General features: G+C 46.9%; 2 protein-coding genes and 1 long non-coding RNA gene across 15 annotated transcripts in view, besides 1 other annotated feature; 1 reads left to right on the top strand and 2 right to left on the bottom strand.

Annotated features, from left to right (window-relative positions):
• The window catches only part of PSMB7 (proteasome 20S subunit beta 7), a 61978-nt gene extending 44919 nt beyond the window's left edge, over positions 1 to 17059 (top strand). The window contains exons 7-8 of the mRNA NM_002799.4: positions 13609 to 13760; positions 16815 to 17059. Of these exons, the coding sequence (NP_002790.1) occupies positions 13609 to 13760; positions 16815 to 16926 (264 nt within the window). The 3' untranslated portion in view covers positions 16927 to 17059. The remainder of the gene's footprint in view (positions 1 to 13608; positions 13761 to 16814) is intronic.
• On the bottom strand, positions 11338 to 17051 carry LOC100129034 (uncharacterized). Its single transcript, NR_027406.1, has one exon. It is a non-coding gene; the product is annotated as an uncharacterized LOC100129034 (long non-coding RNA).
• Positions 16900 to 17069: an enhancer, noted in NCBI's record as "experimental_106555 CRE fragment used in MPRA reporter constructs". NCBI's record gives its function as "activates a minimal promoter by MPRAs in K562 erythroleukemia cells, with activity observed for both the introgressed and non-introgressed 9:127115819 variant alleles {active_cell/tissue: K562}" and the evidence as "EXISTENCE:reporter gene assay evidence [ECO:0000049][PMID:34662402]".
• The window catches only part of NEK6 (NIMA related kinase 6), a 95702-nt gene continuing 93095 nt past the window's right edge, over positions 17217 to 19823 (bottom strand). For all 13 annotated transcript variants that reach the window (NM_001166167.2, NM_001145001.3, NM_014397.6 and 10 more), the window contains one exon: positions 17217 to 19687. In NM_001166167.2, the coding sequence (NP_001159639.1) occupies positions 19577 to 19687 (111 nt within the window). In that variant the 3' untranslated portion in view covers positions 17217 to 19576. The remainder of the gene's footprint in view (positions 19688 to 19823) is intronic.

Here is a 19823-nt window from a genome sequence, read left to right as displayed (position 1 = left end):
CAAGGGGGGAAAGTCAGCAAATTTTATATATCGGAAGATCTGAATAAACGGAACTGCCAATATTTGAAGGGACTGGCGATTCTTAAGAGGGATGAGAATAAAGTTGGCTTGGATGAGATATTTCAAAGCCATTACTACCTTTATGACAGGTTTTTTTTTTTTCCATGACAGCCTATATCAAGTGTAGGTTTTGCTAGCTGAAGTAAAAACAGTTCTAAAAATAGCCAAATGATTATGGTCGGAACAAATATACCCTGGATACCTTCTGCTATTGTGAAAGCTTTAAAAAAAAAAAAAAAAGGTGCTCTTTCTCAAAAACTCCTAAGGCACATCAAAACTGGCAAAGGCAGAGTGTAATAGGGGAAGTTTCTTGGCATCTGCGCCACCAGAAGAGATCTGTGTTGCCACTGGAGTTGCCATTAAGCCCTCTGTAAACTGTTGATAGACGGTGGTCCTTCAGACATGTGAAGGGTGGGCTTGCATGCCATTCACCTTGAGTTTTGTTGATCAGGCCTGTGCCTGGTTTTAAGACATGGTCCCTTTCTTAGTGACTTTACAACCTAGAGAGGGGTGCACAGGCCCACAAGCAGGGACTATGTCATGAAAAGTCGAGAACGGTACCCATACAGTGGGCAGTAGGGGTACGGCGGAAGAGGAGCCGATGGACTCTATCTGGGAGACTATAAAGCCACCTCAAATTGCATGTGACTCCTCACATGAATTGTTTTTGGTCTTGGGGTGTGAGGAAAGGTGGGACAGGGAGGCAGAAGAGAAGGAGACCATTCCGGACAGGAATGTTAAGTCCAGAGGCACGGGGGCCCCTGCTCTGCCTCTCAGTCGTGCAGTCCTGGAAGTTGGGACAGCTGGGAAGGGAAATGGCAGACAGTGTCTAAAGTTGTCTGGGCGGTCATTTCCCGAGTCAGTGTGGCCTTTTAATTAGCATCCGCTCTTCAATGTGAGATAAGGCCGGAGCTTAGCATCCCTGTCCCTGCATGTGAATATTTAGTTTAGAAAGCTGCCACGTTCCATTAGAGGTGCTTGTGTTGCAGCAGTGGGTGCAGGAGCTGTGTAGACTTTTCAGATGTCCTTTGAGATTTATGTTGCAGTGTAATTGGGAGATGCTGGTACTTAGTGTGTTGTGCATGGCGGAATGTGAGATTACCTGCTGTAATGAGACCCCAGCAGCATACCTCAGGAAGGTAGTTAAAGTTTTAACCTTAACAGATAATGTTACTTGTGGGTGTCTGTTAGGTAATTTATACTACCCTCCCCTCACCCTGAAATTGTGCAGAAACCAAGAAATGATAGGAAGTTGTACTAAATAGATATTTTAAAATTCCACCTAGTGGTACAGATTTTTAAAAATATTTGCAGTGAATATTTTATCTGTAGAATGTGGTCATTCTCGCCGTCATTGTCACCCTGTCATGTTAGAATGTAGTTTTTCTAGAATCAGAACCTTGGTGATAACAGAATATTAAAAAGACATAAAGACTCATTAACTTTGGTTCCTTGACAAATACACTGGCTTTTAACTCAGCTGAATGGAATTAGGGGATAGAGCGGTAAGAATGGGCTGGGTGGAGTGTGCACACGTGGGCTCTGAAGAGGCCTGGGTTGGAAGATTGATTTTTGCCTCTTGTGTAACCCCTGTAGCCCCAGTTTGTAAGATGTAAAACTCACTCTCATGAAATGGCCTGAAGTTGGTACTTGAAGGGATCATTACGAGGACAGTGTTTGTAAAATGCTTATCAGGTATAACAAGAGTTTACTCTCTGAGTCTCTGACTACCTCTTGTCCTGAAACTTTCAAAGAAAATTAAATTGCTTTTGATTTCTTGGTCAGTTTCAGTTAAGATTTACAATCAACAAATGGCCAGATGGGAAAATTAAATGATATCTTTTTGATTGACATACGGGGTGGCCGAAAATAATTTGACTGATTCTGTTTGCTGAGAGGTTTTATTACATGTATTTTAGGGAAATGTCAATGTTTGGATGTAGTTTTGATGCAGTGAATTTGATAGCTCTTTGCCGTGGGATTCGATGACTAGATTCTGTAGTAGAGGAATTCATCAGGATGTGTTTAATTTTACCAAATGTAACAAGCCAGATGAGTGTTGGAATGTTAGGGTAGCATAATTTAAGCAATATATTTGCAACTGTGAAATAATTTTAGAGGTAAAGTACTTTAAAAAGAGAAACCCGCAAGTGATTTATAAATTAAATTTACTTAAAGACTTGATGGTATCATTTGTATTTTTGGAGACTGGAGGTTTTGTTTTCTTGGGTGGAAAAAACCAAATCACCTTAAAGCGTTGTTTGGGTAAATGTGTGGAATTGGGTACTTGGCACAGAGCCTGCACACAGTAAGTCTGCCTTCTTTTTCTGTGTCTTTTTAGAATATAATTTTTGGTGAAAGAGAATAAATGAAAATGTGGTACTTACACTTCTCACCGAAATGGCGGTAATTCTACATGGAAGATGTGCATATGAACAAAGATTTTATGGCAATATGTTGAATTTCATTTGCAGTATGATGGCCGCTGTCATAATTGATTTGCTTTTAAATGGGGGTTGAGAAAAAGAAGTACTAAGTTCGTATCAGTTGCCTATCACATTGGTAGCCCTGAAGCCTTTTGCCTTGGTAATCGTGTTTGTGAGTGTTGGAGATGGGTAGGATCAGGTGAAGTTAGCATTCATTGTGGATTTCCTGCACTGCAGGCACCGTGGCCCAGCATCTCCTGTGCATGACACTTCGTATCATCCTCATGACCATCCTGGTGCTTGGGGGTTTTAGGTCCTCCTTTGCAGATGGGGAAATTGGAACTTAAAAATGTGGAGTGACTTTTATCACTGAGGTCACACCGCTGGTAAGTAACAGGACTAGATTCATATCTTTATTCTGTCAAATTCTTTGCCTCTGTCAAGCATTGCCTCCCCCGCCCCCCATGACCACAGTCAATATAGTGACTATATTCATCAGTTCCAGAGCCCTGAAGCTTCCTTATGCCTTTTTGAGACCCCCTCCTCCCACCTAAGTAACAGAGAGTTTATCCGAATGCTGTGTATGCCTGGAGGTCTCATGGAGAAGTATCTGCGTTAGCTCCTCCTGGTGCAGTGGGGGGAAATAGAATCATTTCTATTTGGGTGGGTTGATGAGAAGTCAGCCATTGTCTTCTCATCAACCACCAGAAAAATAATTGCCAAGAAGTTATGAAAGGCCTTTGTGTAAAGGCTGTGTTTGTTCAGAGGGGTGGTCAGCACCTATGACTGAGGCTAGAAGTCCAGGTGGCACCCTCCACATCTTTCCATCCTGCACTTTCACCTGGCTGCTGCTTCCTCCTCACCCACATCTGCTCTGCTGCTGATCCTCCTCCCTGGCCCTGCTGCCCCGCCACCATCTCTCATTGAGAATATTATCATCAACTCCTCTCTGGTCTCCTGCCTTTGGCATTTCCTCCCCCACGGCTTCCCTGTCGTAGTTTCAAAAAGCACAAGTCGAACTATAGTTATGTGTTGCTTAACGACAGGGACACATTCTGAGAAATGCATCCTTAGGTGATTTTGTCATCACGTGAATGTCATAGGATGTACTTACACAAACCTAGATGGTCTGGCCTTCTGCACACCTATACACTATGGTGCAACCTGTTGCTCCTGGGCTGCAAGCCTGTACAGCATGTTAACTGCGCTGAATACTGTCAGCAGCTGTAACACAGCAGTAAGTATTTGTGTATCTAAACATATAAATGGAGAAAAGGTACTGTAAATGTATAGTATGAGATAAAAAATGGTGTATCTGTCTAGGGCACTTACCATGAATGGATCTTGCAAAACTAGAAATTGCTCTGGGTGAGTCAGTGAGTGGGTGGTGAGTGAAGGTGAAGGCCTAGGGTGTTACTGTACACTACTGTAGACTTTATCAACACTGGACACTTAGGCTACACTAAATTTACACACAGAAAAATTTCGGTAATTACCGTAACCTTTTTACTTGTTTGTAAATTTTAAAAACTTTTGGACCCTTATAACGCTTAACTTAAAACACAAGCACATTGTACAGCTGTACAAAATATTTTTCTTTATATCCTTAGTCTATAAGCTCTTTTGTTATAGACTTTGTTTTTTGAGACAGAGTCTTGCCCAGGTTGGAGTGCAGGACATGATCTCAGCTCATTGCAACCTCCACCTCCAGGTTCAAGCGATTCTCCTGCCTCAGCAGCTGGGACAGCAGGCTCGCATCACCACGCCCAGCTAATTTTTGTATTTTTAGTAGAGATGGGGTTTCACCATGTTGGCCAGGCTGGTCTCAAACTCTTGACCTCAGGTGATGCTCCTGCTTTGGCCTCCCAAAGTGCTGGGATTACAGGCATGCACCATCATGCCTGGCCTATAAGCTTTTCTCTATTAAAAAAATTTTTTTTTAATTTTTTTACCTTTTAGATGTTTTGTTAAAAACTAAGGCACAAACACACACACATTGGTGTAGACCTTTGCAGGGCCAGGGCCATCAGTATCACCGTCTTTTGCGTCCACATCTTACCTCACTGGAAGGTAGAAAGTGATAGTAATCTCTCTCTCTTTCTCTCCTTTCTCTCTCGTTTTTTGAGACAAGGTTTTGCTCTGTCTCTCAGGCTGGAGTGCGGTGGCACGATCACAGCTCACTGCAACCTGAACCTCCCAGGCTCAAGTAATCCTCCTGCCTCAGCCTCCCAAGTAGCTGAGACTACAGGTGCACATCACCACACCTGGCTAATTTCTTTTATTTTATAGAGACAAGGTCTCACTATGTTGCCCAGGCTGGTCTCGAGCTTCTGAGCTCAGGACTCCCAGCGTTACAGGGTCACAGGTGTGAGCCACTATAGCCAGCCTGGAGGAGTTTTTTTAGCTTCATGATAATTTTATGGGACCACTGTTGTATATGCAGTCCGTTGTTGTCCAAAATGTTACGTGGTACATGACTGTACATCATTTTCCAGGTAGAAATTTTTGTGTCTTCCTGCTGCTTAGCATAAAGGGTGGGCTGTCTGTATAGCCTGTGAGGTTCTCTGGCAATCAGCCACACTGAACTACCTACTCGACCACACCTTTCTCCTTCCCATGTTCATGGCTCTCTTCCTGCCTACACGTCTGCCCTTTGACTTGGCTACCTTTCACTTGTATTACAAGACCCTGCCCAGTCTCCATCACCTGCACCCCACGAGACCCGTGTCCATCTGTGGCTCCTTTGTCAGGCCTGTCTCTAGCTAGCTCTTACCTCATTGTAATGAGATTATCTCCTTGTTTCCCCTTCTGGGCTCCACAATTCTCATGGGCAGGCTCTGTGTTCAGGCCTGTCTCCATTGTTCAGCACAGCGTGTGCGGTGTGTTCATAGCAGGCCGCTCGTGATGCTTGCTGAGCTAAGCTAACCTGGCCGTTTTGCAGGAGTTTTGCATCATTTGAAATTTGCCTCATTTTGGCCATCTTTAAACTTCCTAGAACAAGAGCACTCTGTACTTCCTTGGATCTCCTTCTGGTTCTGCCTGGGCCTTGTCAGGCTGTGGAAGAAGGATCATGTCATATAACACAGTGCCTGTGATAGCCTTCCCACATGTGCCCAGCATCTAGCAGTGGTTTTGTCCTATCCAGATGTTGGAGGTGGGAACGCGGCTCTTCTGCTGGTCTCAGACCCTGATTTCAGTCTCTGCTTCTGACAGGACTGGATTTCTGTCATTGCTTACTCTCCTTATCCTGAGAAATTCTAGTGCTGGCTGCTGCTTTGTTGTGACCCATGAAACAGATTCACTTCATTTCTCTGTGTTTTCAGGTGATAGCCCTTTCCGTGGCTCCAGGAGTTTATTGCCAGAGTTATCACGGGCCGCGTTGTTTTTGCAGAGAGAGAGAAATGTGATGAGGATCTTATTAGTATCTGCCACAGCCTGGTTTTCGTTTTGAGGATTGTTGAGCATATTTCTCACTTTTCTTTAAACCCAGGCTTTCTTTTTTTTTTTTTTTTTCTCTGATTACATTTGATTCAGTGTAGCCTTGGAAATATATATTTGTATACACATATGCTGTGAACATTGATTTCTTCTCCTTGTGGAAAGCAATATGTTCTTGTCTCTTTTGGTTCTTTTCCCTCTGGAAGCTTAGGTATTTTTCCTTCCATTCACTGTCACGGATTCCAGCAAAACCACTTGCCCGCCACAGATTTTCCTAATGGTGGGATAGGAAGACAGGCTTTGGTGGTGCCAGGCACTAATCTGGCATGCATCCCCGACTCTCCTGCTTGTACACAGCCTTGTGCCTTTGAGTGCATCAGCCAACCTTTCTGAGAGCCCCAGTTTCCTCATCTGTACCAGCAGTTGGGAATTCAATAAATAACGCAAGTGTTTGGCTCAGACCCGGGGGTGTGGCAGGTGCCTGGTGTTAGTTCTCTCATACCCTTGCCTGTTTTCTTCGACCCTAGGACGTGCTAACCGTCCTGTTTGTGAAATTGCTGTGTTGGGGTCATTTCTCTCATTTTATTCCTTGGACAGAGGCATTATTCTCATACTTACGAAGGGCACTCTTTGGCTCAGAGAGTGACCCGCTGTCCAGGGCTGTCCTCATTCTGGGCTACCCTTTTCCAGCCCATTGTGGCCGTGCAGCCGCTGACATCTCTTCCTGGCTGCGAGTTCTGACAGGCATCACTCAGTGACCTAGGACAGACCTGGCTGGCAATTTCGTGAACATGAGCACCCCTTCCCATTCCCACTTAAAACCCCTAAAACTCCTGCACGCACAGCAAGTTTTTCCTTTATTATTTGTGTCACCCAGATCCTGGTACCAAAAAAAAAGCTATCAAGGAAAGAAATGGCAACACCAGCTAGGCGTTAAAGATGCAGTCACTGGCTCACTCCCGGCTCTAAGCGTGCCCAGCACCAGCTGCAGCTCGGCTCTGCTGAATTCCTAGGTGTTCACACAGGCAGGCGTATTCACCCAGAAAGCTCAGGCCAAACTCCAAACTCTAGACACCTTTGCTCTTGTCACACAGCCCAGTCCGGAAAAAAAAAGTTTTCTACCGTAAAATATGTGGCTATACATGGGATACGTCAAGTCTGTGACTCAGTGCAGGGAGCATGCTGCTTTCGCGGAGACCGTTTCAAACACTTTTTTGAGCTCTTTCAATTGTATTCAACCATCAACCATTAATGAGTCTTCAGGCCACATCAGTGGCAGAGTCAGAGCCTTAGCCTGTCAGCAGGCCCCCAACAAACACATCGTGTTCAGACCTCCTCCTCTCAAGCGCTTGTCTTTGAATGGTCTCCAGTTGGGACTGGTGCAGTTTGGGAATTGCCCCATTTGGTAGGGGTCTCTCTCATGATTTCAGAGTCTTTGAGTTTGGCAGAGCCATGCATGCATTTGAAGTGAACGTTTCGTTTTTTCATTTGTTGACCTACATGCCAAGCACCAGGCTAGTTCCCTGGGATACAAAGATGGAGAAGGTGTAGGGCGGACCCCTGATGTTCAGAATTTTCATCCTCTCTCTTTAGAGTCCAAATTCTCATCACACCCAGACTTTTATCTGTTCTGCTCTAGATCATCAGAGGAATGGAATTTTTTGCTATTTCAAATCAAAGTGACAAAAGATAATGAAGATTTTCCAAGCTGCATTTGGATTGCCTTCTTTTTAAAAAATTAATTATTTGGCTTGGCAATAAAAACTGTATATACTTACCATATGCAAATGATGTTTTGAAATTTGTGTACATTGTGGAATGGCAAAGTCAAGCTAATATATTAACATGCATTACCTCAAATTTTTTTTTTGTGGTGAGAACACTTAAATCTTAGCTGTTTTTCAAGAATACAATACATTGTTATTAACTATAACCAGTATGTTGTACAATATATCTCTTGAACTTACTCCTTCTAACTGAGATGTTGTATCCTTTGGCCAGCATCTCCCCAACCCTCCCCTGCCTCACTTCTTACGAGTTAAATCCTTAGTGGTTAATGAAGGAGCAAATGGTTGTGAACTAATGGAACTAAATATAGATTCAGAAAGACACAGGGAAATGGATGAAAGTTGTGAGGATTCCGCCGTGATGCCATCCGCATTCTTGCTTCCCCCAGCAAAGGCAGGAGAGCTGCACCCCTTCCTCCTGGCATGGAGGTGGCGCAGAAGGCAAGGGACACTTGGGTGCTGCCTTGAAAACCCTTGGAGCTGGGGGAGCCCTGTTCCTCAGGAAAAAGGCTGAGTATCTCTTTGTTTTCTGCCCCCTAGGCCAGCTCTTCAGCTACATAAACAATATATTTGCCGGCAAATAACCAATTTTATTTCTTTTTAAATTATTTTAAAAATTTTAGTTACAAATCAGTTATGTCAAATGACTTGCCATATACATGAACTTTCACATTCCAAAGCTATGTATAAAATAGTCTGTTAGGTTTTCAGTCAAGTGCATATTTAATATTTTGCCTGCCTCCAGTGTAAGTAAAGCAGTGTTGAGATGCATAGCTGAACAGTCAAATGAAGAGGGTGTATTTAAAGAGTATTAATTTGATGCTGAACTGTCCAGAGTGCCCATTGGCTGGCACAGCTACATTTTTCTCTGGTGACATTCCCAATCTAAAAATCACTTAAGTGAGAAGAGAAATTCGATTGTAGCTGTAGACAAGAATAATGCGGAAAAAGTTTCTTGGCAGTACTATTTTGGACCTGCACTATAGTGGATGCCGAGGTAATCTATCAGTTTGTGAGTGTCTACAAAATGCAACTCTCTAGATAACAGGTTTAAAGTAAAGATTTAATACAGTCTCCATCTCCTATGATGTTGCAGTGACAGTTTAAAACTCATTCTCTAAATCTCAGCAGACTTTATAGCTAGCAGTGGGCCAATATAAAGTTTAATAGCATTACAACACATAAATCATCTTTTAAAGATGCTACTAGTAGCTCCAATATTAAATGCAGACAATCGCCCATGTTATAAATAATTTATCAAACACCATTTCAGATTTGCCTTCCATGCTGAGTTATTTATTTCAGCCTTTTCTGTATGATTCCTAAGGCACTTTTTGAAAGATCCATTACTGGTCAGTTTAATGAACTTGGGGGTCTGTTTTGTCCCCTCAAGCACTCGGGTACAGCTGTGGTGACCATTACGTGGCCGACGTGGACCTCTTTGTGCCTTTTACAAGTGCTGCCCATTTGTCATGTAGCGGTAAATGGAACTGCACATTGGAGTCCAGGGACACATTGTGCGATGCGGTGATGGAGACAAACAGATAGCTCTATAAAGTGCTGCTTGTCACAGCTGACTTGTAGTACAGTACATCACTCTTATTGTAATCTCATTTAAGAAGCAGGGGTGGCCCGGGGGACTGATATTCCCAGTTAGTTTGGTCTTTGTAGCCATAAAGCAAGAAGTGTTCCTTTTATATTTTCTGAACTTTAGGGAGTATGCTTTTTGCTTGGATTAATTATTATAGGAACTTCTCTGTGGCACTGTGTGAAGATTTGTCAGCAGGTTTCTTTGGCCCTCCTTGTCCTGGCCTGGGGTTTGGTATAGGCAGTTGCTGCTTAGAGATAAGTTGTGTTTTTAGGAGCCCTCTGGCTTGCTTTACTAAATAACTTACCATTTATTAAGCAGTAGCTATGTGCCAGAAACTATAGCAGGTGCTTTCTGTACCTTTATTTCTAATTTGTTAGTAATCTTATGAAGTTGGATTTATTATCATTATATTACAGAGCGGGAGAGTAAACTCAGAGAGGTGTAGTGACTTGTCCAGGGTTGCCCAGCAGTAAGTAGTAGACTGGGGATTCAAACCCATTCTGTCTGCCTCCATGTCTCCTTGAACCTGGGTTCCCCAGCTGGTGTTTAATCGTCAGGGTCATGGTGATCTTTTAGCTGAGCGTCTGAAAGCAAAAGGAAGCTGCTGTTGGCCTGGAGGGCCATTTTTTGGTAACGAGGGTAAGGCCTACTCGCCCATCGCCACACTGAGGTTCCCTTGTGACCTGCAACATAAATGCATAGGCAGCTGGCTGGGGGCAGATGCCTCCCTGGCTGTGGGAGAGAGCATCGCACCTGGGCCTGACCACCTGGGGTCATGGGCTCTGCAGAGCCCTTATCAAGGCCCCTCTGTAGCAGCTGTCCCCGGGCAGATGCTGCCCAGGCCCTAGGTCACTCTGCATCTTCCAGAAAAGGGAGGTGCAGTTTCCCTACGAAGAACTAATCCTAAAGGAAGAGACAGTGCTTCTTGCGCTTATTGTGGGCTGGAGACAGATACAAATGTGGTGTTTTCCCCACCTCTTGCCTTTAGTTTGTGGTTTTTCTTGATAGTTTTCTTAAATATTTGGTAGCACATGTTAAAGACAAAAGTTGTTTAATTGTGAAATTCCACTATAAAGAAAACACAGTATGAATATGCCCAGTAGCATATTTGCATACGTGTCTAGAATTCTGTGTATGGAAATACTGTAGTCAGAGACAGTATTCAGCATTGAAGCAGTTCCTGGAACATAGTAGGTCCCTATAGGTGTGTGTTAAAGACATTAACTGTGTAAGTAGTGGGTGGACAGTAGAGCCTTTGGTCATTTCCACGCTGTTTTGATTATGAGGGTTTGGGGTGTTAAGGGAGGGATATGTTAAATAAGACCTTAGATCTTAATATTGATCTGGTGTTGCATTGTAGAGATGTTGCCCTAACTTGGTTGAGAATGAAGAAGGCCCTTGAAGTGGTAGTCTTGGGTATTTTGGGAAACACTGCCCTCCAACCCCCAATGGGAGTGACCATCAGAGGAGCTGCTGGTTGGCCCAGAGAGAAACCGGCAAACACCATCCTCCTCCTCTTAAATTTACCCAGGTCTTAAGGCTCTTTGGTGGTGGGGCGTGAATGACACAGCCTTGAGTCAGGGACTAGCTGAGGAGCCCCCGGCCCAAGGAAGGTCACTTGCGAGTTGGTGTGGTGCTGCGGCCTTGTGGCTCTGGGGCCTGATGGGCCTGTTTTACTATTTTTTGTTTACCTGCTGTGTGACCTTGTGTAAGTCATTGACCGTCAGCCAGAGTTTCTGACCATACCAACATCAAAAGATGGTTGGGGGCAGGGGTGAACATGATGATCATCAAAGTGCCCAACTCAGGGCTTGGCACGTTAGAGTGCTGGTAGATGTTGATTGATTGATTGTTTTAGTGAGCATATAGGTGCTCCATAAATCTAAGTTTCATTCCATCTCCTAACATCTTCAGCCATGTGTATATGAGACATGGAGTGGGACTGGGGGGAAAAAAGTGAGAAACTTGAGATTTTCTTCCTTAAGGAATGATCTTCCCTAGAATTGGTGGGGAGGAAAGGAATTTAAAAGATGTATTTTCCCAATTTAAAAAAGCCTTTATTCATACTTAAATAACAGCATACATGATAATTTGATGAGTAAATCAAACTATATAATTTTAAAATTTGCATATTTTAAAGTTTTATCAGTTACTTACAGACTGTTTGCAAAATAGAGGGAGGATCACTCATAATCTTACATAGCACTGTCAGCAGTCTGCTGTCCTGTGCCCAGTCGAATGGATTGACACTAGATATGCATGTCTCATGTCATTCGTATATTTCCGTTTCCCCAAGTCTTCACCTGTCCCCATCTACCCAGATCATTTGGGAAATGTAAATGTGCAGTCCTAAGCGCTGCCCGCAGGGTCGCGATGTCTGCCAGGTACTGCTGGCTGGCTCTAGACACCAGCAGCAGTGATAAGAAACAAAGCAGAGGAGACAGTTAAATGGTAGAGAAGAGAAGGGGGAGCAGAGGTGGTAGGCCGGGAACAGGGGAATAAGTATGGTTCTCCCCGCACGTGCCCATGTGCGCACACACCGAAGGCCATTTAAAGGGAAGCGGTTAGGTATGAGGTTGTGTTTGCTGAATTAGTGGTTGGTTTTTGCTGTCTATCTAGATAGCAGCTGCTGCCAGCTCCTCGTCTAAGAGGCTTTCTTTGCTGCCACCTTCACTGGTTTGTGGAAAGCTTCTGGCCCCATAGACTGTTGAGAATTCCAGGAGAAAATTCCTAATTAGCGGATCCCGTTTGAATGCATTCTTACAGGACTGCATATGTACAAAAGAAGAATTGGCTTCATTGGCCCCACATAGATGTCACGTGAGAGTGAAAAAACCTGGGGTATAAATATCAAAGGAACCCCTATCTGCTGGTTTGCTGAGGAGCCCACTTCCAGCAGAACCTTCTCTGTCCTTCTGAGTCTGTAGAGGGCGCTTATGTCACTGGAATCCTAGTCTGGCATGGGGCAGGCAGAGGAGCAGGAGCCCCCAGTGGGTTCAGATCTTCTGAAAACTTGAGGTTAGCGGATCTGCCCTTTGAGGGTCTCAGGCTGGATTTGGGCCTGGAGTCCGTGTTTCTCCAAGGGTGTTGCTTGGGTGAGCGCTGGAGTGCACTTGCATGTGTATGTACTCTCACGCCCTCGTGGACTGGGAAGGCGCCGTAGCACAGGTTAGATTCCCTGCTTTCAGGGAGCCTGGTTCATTTTTGTCCTCGTTGTATATAGAGCTTGAACTTGGTGTTCCCCAGGTCCAGTACCACTGCCGTTGCTGCCTGCCTTCTGTTTCACTGCTGTTTTCTGAGTGCCTCGTGTGCAGCCTGTCCTTCAGCCCTCCCTGAAGCTCTGCTGACCAGCTGTGTTCCCAGCTCCTTTTCACGTGCTCTTTAGCCAGCCTTACCCTGCATTGTACTTACTTGGGTCAGGTGCCCCTGCTAGACTCTTAAGCCCCTAGGGGGCAGGGATCTGGGGGCGTCATCCACCTCTGCAGCCCTAGCTTCTGGTATAGCATGTGATAGGACATAGCATGTGATGGGGCTTCTCGGATAAGAAAGGGATGAGTCCATCTGTTCACCAGTAACTATTAGGGATGGGGATTTGTGTTTAAAGGTGGGGCAAAGGAGAGAGTGATTCAAAGTAATGGATTACTTCAGTGAACCTATAGGTTCCTTAGTAGGAGAGAGAGATTATTCTGGGCAAGAGGTCCCGCCCTTGGTCTGCCAGCATTTCCCCAGAACTACCGGCTTGTGTTTTGGTGTTAGTTTCTTCCTCCTACAGTGCTGACTTTCTCAAGTAACTTTCAGCTATTGTTGGACATTCTTGATCAGGGGATAGTTAGTAAACTGCAGTCAGTGGGCCAGATCTGGCCCACTGCCTGTTGCTAATAGAGTTTTATTGGAACACAGTTATACCCATTTTTTAATGTATTTGTGTGTGGCTGTTTTGTGCTAGCGTGACAGAGTTGAGTAGGTGTGGTAGAGACTTTTGGCCACAAAGCCTAAAATATTTACTACCTGGCCCTTTTAAAGATAAGTTACTAACCCTCTAGTAACTGTCAGCCCATCGTTTTGTGGTGATTGTCTGATGTGGTCAAGAGGCGGTGCATGCATAAAAAGTTTTAAAGGCCTGGGTCGGGAACTTTGGGTAAATAATCAAGGTACTTTGAGATCTTTTCCTCATCTGTGAGATGGGCATTAAAAACAACACCTGTCTCGCGGGAGGTCTTGCGCACTGCTAGTGGACGTACATTGCGGATGTCAGAGCAGGCCCTAGTTTGGCCGGGGACATTATTGCCGCCGTTCTGTTTCTCAGGAGGAGGAAGCCAAGAATCTGGTGAGCGAAGCCATCGCAGCTGGCATCTTCAACGACCTGGGCTCCGGAAGCAACATTGACCTCTGCGTCATCAGCAAGAACAAGCTGGATTTTCTCCGCCCATACACAGTGCCCAACAAGAAGGGGACCAGGTGAGTGAAGGAGACGAAGTTCTTCCTGGGTCCCCTGGCGTCGTGGCCACCCTTGGTATCTCCATGGCATCTGGATGGAGTTTTCCTGGTTCTTTCCACATTAAGTACATCCAGTGTTCCCAAATCAACCTCCCACACAGACCTTCGGCTTGTTACTTGCTTTATGACAGTGGGCTGCTGTCAGGTGTAGGAAAGTGATTTAATTTGATGGGAGAGGTGGAGGGTGGCCCAGGAAAGAGCCCTAGGCTGGGAGGTGGGGCCGGAGAGGTTTGGATCATCTGCTGTCCTTTCTCAAGTGTCTTAAAGAATCCCCTGATTTCTGGGAGAAGGTGCATTTTTCAGGGCAGCCCCAGCACTTTCCCTCAGAGTGCCCCGAGATTCCTAACTGGGTGTAAGTCAGCAATGCTAACAGCCTCCCAGAGGTGGCCTTGGGAGCTAGTGTGTGTGTGCTGTGCTACAGGGAGTTGTGCCATTGAGCCTGAGCCTACATGCCGAGTGGGCCCCTCGGCTCAGTGGTGCAGCGCAGACTCAGAGCAGTGGGAGAAGGTTCTAGTTGATTTGCTGAGCAGAACTGGGAGGTTTCCAAACCTGGTGGCTAGCATGTGTCAGAGGAGCAGCTCGTTTGCAGTGTCTCGTGATTGTCCGGCTGCTTGACCATCCTGTGGCTCCTGACCTCTTCTGGGAGCCCGGGCAGGTCAGGATGGGCTCCCTGAGTGCTGCTTCCAGCTGCAGCATCTGGGTGCAGCACAGGGCATTTATAAACTACGGCTCCCACTCAGCTCCACGGTAGCCCCGAGGAAGTGAGCACCACCTTCTGCAGGCTTGCTTCCATCTCCCACTGCACACACAACTCCACATCAGGAGTAATTCACAAGGAAGGAATGGAACGTTCAGAACCAGCAGGTATTCACTGTGGGCTGCACTCAACCTTGCGGAAGCTCAGTGGGCTCCTGATGGGGTGGGGCAGCACGGGGCCAGAGAACGCTGGCACTGGGGTTGGGGAGTGTTGGTGGCTGGCTTGGTGGCTTCCAGCAAATCAGTCTGTCTTGGAAATGGAGCTAAACCAGATGACCTCTAATGAGCCCACGAAGTCCCTCGGGCCTTTAGCAGGAAGGCAAGCCACCTTTCAGGCCCAGAGCTGTGTTGGGGAACCGGGCTTTGCCGAGCTCCAGGTAGGCAGGAGCCAAGTACTCCATGTAGCCTGCTTCGCTGGTTATTTTGCAAGATGCGTGATTTGAGCAAGTCCATGGTGAAGCGGTGATGGGGTAGGGAATGGTTACACCATTCAGGCTGGCCAGGGTCCTGGGCGAGGACTCTGAAAGCCACGTCTGGGCCAGTGAGAAGTGGTTGCCTAGGGAACCTGTGCTGAGCGCAGGAGTCCTCATCCACAGGGAGTGCAGCAGTGGCACATCCTACTTCCTGGGACATGGGCTGCTCCACTTGTAAACAGAGGCTCTAAACACCCAAGAACAAAAGAAAACCGCCTTGCGGCTGCTTGGGAAGAATCAGCAAGGCGACCCAGAAGCTGCTGGGCGTGTGGTGGGTGTGCAGTAACCTGCAGGGAGCCTGCTCCCCATCGGTGTCCTGGGGCCAAGGGCAGCAAGTGTCCAAGCTCCCTGGACTCTGTTGTCTTCTTTGCCAGTGACTGAAGATGGGGGCACTGCCTGAGTTAGGGGAGCCCTTCCCAGGGTGGATGCTAGGGTGCGGGCAGGGCGATAGGCCTGAGGAAGCATCCCGTGCCATGCGCCAGTGGGCCTTGCCTGGCAAGTCCCTGCTGCCTGTCTGCCCGCAGCCCTCCAGCACACGGTCTTGCAGTCCACTGGCACGTAAGGCGGAAGCTCTGAATGCATGCCGCAAAAATCGGGCACTGTCACCACAGTGGTGAGGAGGCTCTTGTGTGTCCAAGCCTCCCGGAGACACTGAGGGGTGGTTCAGAGGAGTCAGGCACACAGAGGCCACGTGGGACTTTGGCTCTAAGACTGCACGCTGCCACCAAGGTTCCAGCGTGTGAGGGATGAGGGGCATCCTCAAACTGATGGGGTGGGGACACATTGTTCAAAGGTACTTTTGCTTGGATTCTTTAAGAGGGTGGGGGTCGGGGGAGGCTTGGCAGCATAAAGGCAGGCCGCTCTGGGCTGACCGTGCTCCTGACCTGGATGCAGAACTGTGGAAGTTGCCCTCCTTGTTCTGCTTCCTGCTCCCTCTTTTAGCCCGTGTGTCCAGGGGAGAGGATGGGTGTTCCGGGAGCACAAGGCCATGGCACAGCCAGCAGCCTTCTGGCAGTTCCTGAAGGACAGCAAGTTTGACAGAGATATTACCCCAGCTGGGGCTAGAGCAGAGGAACAGTTGGTTGTGTGCTGCCATTTGACAGTATCCTAATTCCTGACCCACTGTGAGCATTAACAGCCCAAATACATATCTTCTAGACAGTCTGGTGCTCAAAGAAACCTCTGCCAGATTCACTCCAGGAAGAAGGTGTTGGGTGTGTCCTAGTGGGGACCCACTGTGTCCCTGAAAGGGACAGTTAACTTTTCTTGAGACTTGAGAGTGGTCTGAAATGACAAGCCCAGAGTCTGGCTGCACATTTTTTTTACACTGTTTATGCTTCCAGATGTTTGTGCAGTGTCTAAGGTAACAGTTAAGTCATTCTTGTTGCTGCACGGAAGAGCAATCATGCCCTTCTCTTGTGTAATGATGGGATTTGCTTCCTGCTGTCCCTGAACAGTATTGTAGGGAGGTTGAAGATTGATGTCAAGGGACCAAGTGCTTCCCAGCACTTGTGGGGATGGTGGGGTGGGGGGAGAGTCACGTGTCCACCAAGGGCCAGGTGCCGTGTTCACTAATGACACTCTTTGCCTCCCAGGCACCCCCATTTTGCAGCACTTGAGAACTGAGGAAGTTGAATCCCCCAAGATCACAGAGCTGGGATCGGGAGAGCCAAGATTCCAGTCCAGCCTGCTCACTGCGTTGCCTGAATATTTATTTTCACTGTCTTCTGCCCTCTGGCACCTTGAGGAGAATCCTAACTCTGTGCTTTTGTTTTTCTCTTACTAGGCTTGGCCGGTACAGGTGTGAGAAAGGGACTACTGCAGTCCTCACTGAGAAAATCACTCCTCTGGAGATTGAGGTGCTGGAAGAAACAGTCCAAACAATGGACACTTCCTGAATGGCATCAGTGGGTGGCTGGCCGCGGTTCTGGAAGGTGGTGAGCATTGAGGCCCAGTAAGACACTCATGTGGCTAGTGTTTGCCGAATGAAACTCAACTCAATAAAAAACAAAAACCAAATTGGGCAGCTGAGGTCTGGGCACTGTGTGGTGTTTTTGGGGGCAGTAGGGGGCTGCTAAGGCCATTGGCCTGGCCCTTCAGGGTGCTGATCCTCCTTGAGCACTGGCCTAGGCTCAGAGGAGAGCGTAGGAGCCATGCGCCCCTCCTGAGGACAGATAGGTTCTGTCTGCTGTCAGAAGTCAGAGTGGACTCCCTTGAGGCTTCAGGTGACCATCGATACCTACCCTTTTTGCTGGCTGAATTTGTTTGGGGTGGCCTCAGGTTTGGTTTGGTTTTGAAATGGGGTGATAAGTGCAGCACACCCTCCACCTCAGCAGCCAAGTAGGAAAAAAATGGCAAAGCCAAAGCTGTGTTCTCAAGCCCAGCTCAGTTCTGAGAACCAAGAGAAGGTGAGCAGGTGCACCGCCAGAGCTGTGTGAAGGTGGGTGGACCTCACTTTGGCCGGTTTCACAGAAATAAAAGGAATGTTTTGGGGTTACGGTTTTGTAATAAGTAGGACATGATCATTTCACAAACACTCAGGCCTGGTGAGTGGCTGAGATCGTGCGCCTCCAGAGGGTCCAGTTGGGCAGATTGTTCTCACAGTGTGGAAAGCGGGTGGCATGCACAAAGTAGGTTGATTGCGTGCTGGGGCTGGCAGTGTTGGGGAGACACGGCAGGGGCTCAGAGAGCTGGAAGCAGAATGTTGGCAAAAAGTTGGTCTGGAATCAGAAAAATCTTCAGTGGTAAGCACTAGGCAGGCGACAGGGACTTGATTGTTCTGTGGAGAGAACATTCCAGGGTGAATCTGCTCTCAGGCCAGCTCCTGTGTTACAGCTGCCAGGGGCAGGCTGGGGAGAACGATGGAATTACCTCATGAGGGCAGAAACTCGGCTGATGATGAGTTTCAAAATTATTTGGGGAGCTTAAAGAAATCCTGGGATTACTGAATGGGGCCTGGGAAGTTGTGTTTTTCAAGGTTCCTCAAGAAATTGTGCTGCAGACGCTGTTTAAGTTTTGAATCTACTGGTTTAAAAGCAAAATCTCCAAAGCCATTTTAAAATCTTCATGAATTCTAAGTAACTCCCAGTCACCCTGTTTTATTTCAACCATGGAGAAAAGTACAGAGGAAAGGCTGCATATGGAGAGACTGTCGGGCTGACGGTGTCACAGCAGATCCGAGTCCACGTGTGGAAACAGCAGCCGCCCGGCCCTGGGTGTTTCCTCCAGGAAAGGCCTGGTCAGTGAATGCCTGCAGGCAGCAGGTGTCAGGAATCACCTGCCCGATGCCAGCGCTGCTCTTGTCTGGAGGGCCAGACTGTCATGAAGTCAGTGACGACAGCTCAGACAATTGGAAGGTTAACTTTACGTACAAAAACAAAATTCAAATGATTTCCTTCAGAGGTGGAGTTTTCTTAGGTTCACATTTATAAATTAGTCTTCACAGTTAATCCTGTTTGGGAACAAGAAATAAGGAACACATTTCTGGTTTCCTACACATGATACAGGTGTACATTAATTCTCGACTTCCGTGGTCCATGGACTTCAGTTTGTGAAGGGTGAGTGGCTACCATTTTTGGATCATCTACTTTTTGTATTAGCTAACTTGCATATTTTATTTCAAATTCTGTCTGTCAGCAATCCTGAAGGTAGATGATAGGTACTATTAATCTCATTGTACAGATGAGGAAATGAAGGCTCAGAACGGCTAAGAAACTTGCCCAAGCCCAAAGTCACGCTAGGAAGTTGCAGAACCAGAATTTGTAAAGGACAGCCCTTCGCTTTTCTATATCCCATGCTTCCTTCCCATGGAGGAAAATGCTTAACACTGATCATGAAATGAACCGCCAGCATTCAAGGAGGTGACGAAGTTCCTGGTACACAGCAGGTGTCCAGGAGAAGATGGCCCAGCCTGGCTGCCAAGAAGATGCTCCTGCTTCCCGATGCCTTTTGCCTGTGACACTCTGGCCAGGTGCAGGGCTCTCATCGTCACTCACCAAGTTATAAAACGTAGATAAAAATGTTAGCAGAATCACCACTCCACGGAAAAAAATGATTTCCACTTTATCCCTTTACAACAGAGTAAATTAAGCACACAGCTTGATTGAAAAGATACTAAGAACTAAACTGAACCCGGTACTAACCATTTTCAAAGGCTCACTACACAAATCACACGGTCTCCTGCAAGTCTCCTGTTAGCATAAGCCTTGACAGGTCACTGGAGGAATTACCCTAAAGATTCACATTACAATCCAGATACAGGGGGCTGCCGTGGCTCGCTGAACCACCTGCCCTTATTGACCCAGCTGAGATTGTCCACAACAGTATAAAGAAAGGACTTTGGAATCTGACCATCAGTGACATGTGGCCAGCGCCCCTCCCTCAGCTGCTCTGCCTTCAGCATCTGCTGTAAGGCTGGGCAGCCTTTTGGGGAACCTGCTGAACCCTGTGGTCTTAGCTGTTCTAGGCTACCAGGTGGCCACTCGAAGAGAAGACGACTCAAGTAAGGCAAAGTGGTGCTGGCTTTGATAAGGCACGGTGCATCCACGCTCAGGTGCTGGACATCCAGATGTGCATCTGCTTGGCCACCTGGTGCACGTATCCGATGTCAGGTCTCTGGTGGGGGTCAGGGCAGATGCACATGCTGACCAGTTCTCGTAACTGCAGGGGAGAGAATGGTGTGTTATTCTCAAGAAAGCAGTCTTACTGAGGCTCCGCACTCCACAGTCTGTCTGCATGAAGGCACTTCATCCTCAGAGCAACTAGATGGTCCCGTTGTCCCCGTTAGAGCTGAAGA

This window comes from Homo sapiens, chromosome 9 (genome assembly GCF_000001405.40).
Source record: "Homo sapiens chromosome 9, GRCh38.p14 Primary Assembly".
In the NCBI taxonomy this organism is placed as follows: domain Eukaryota; kingdom Metazoa; phylum Chordata; class Mammalia; order Primates; family Hominidae; genus Homo; species Homo sapiens.
Note: the sequence above shows the minus strand (reverse complement) of the source record. Positions and strands in the feature narration are given on the sequence as shown.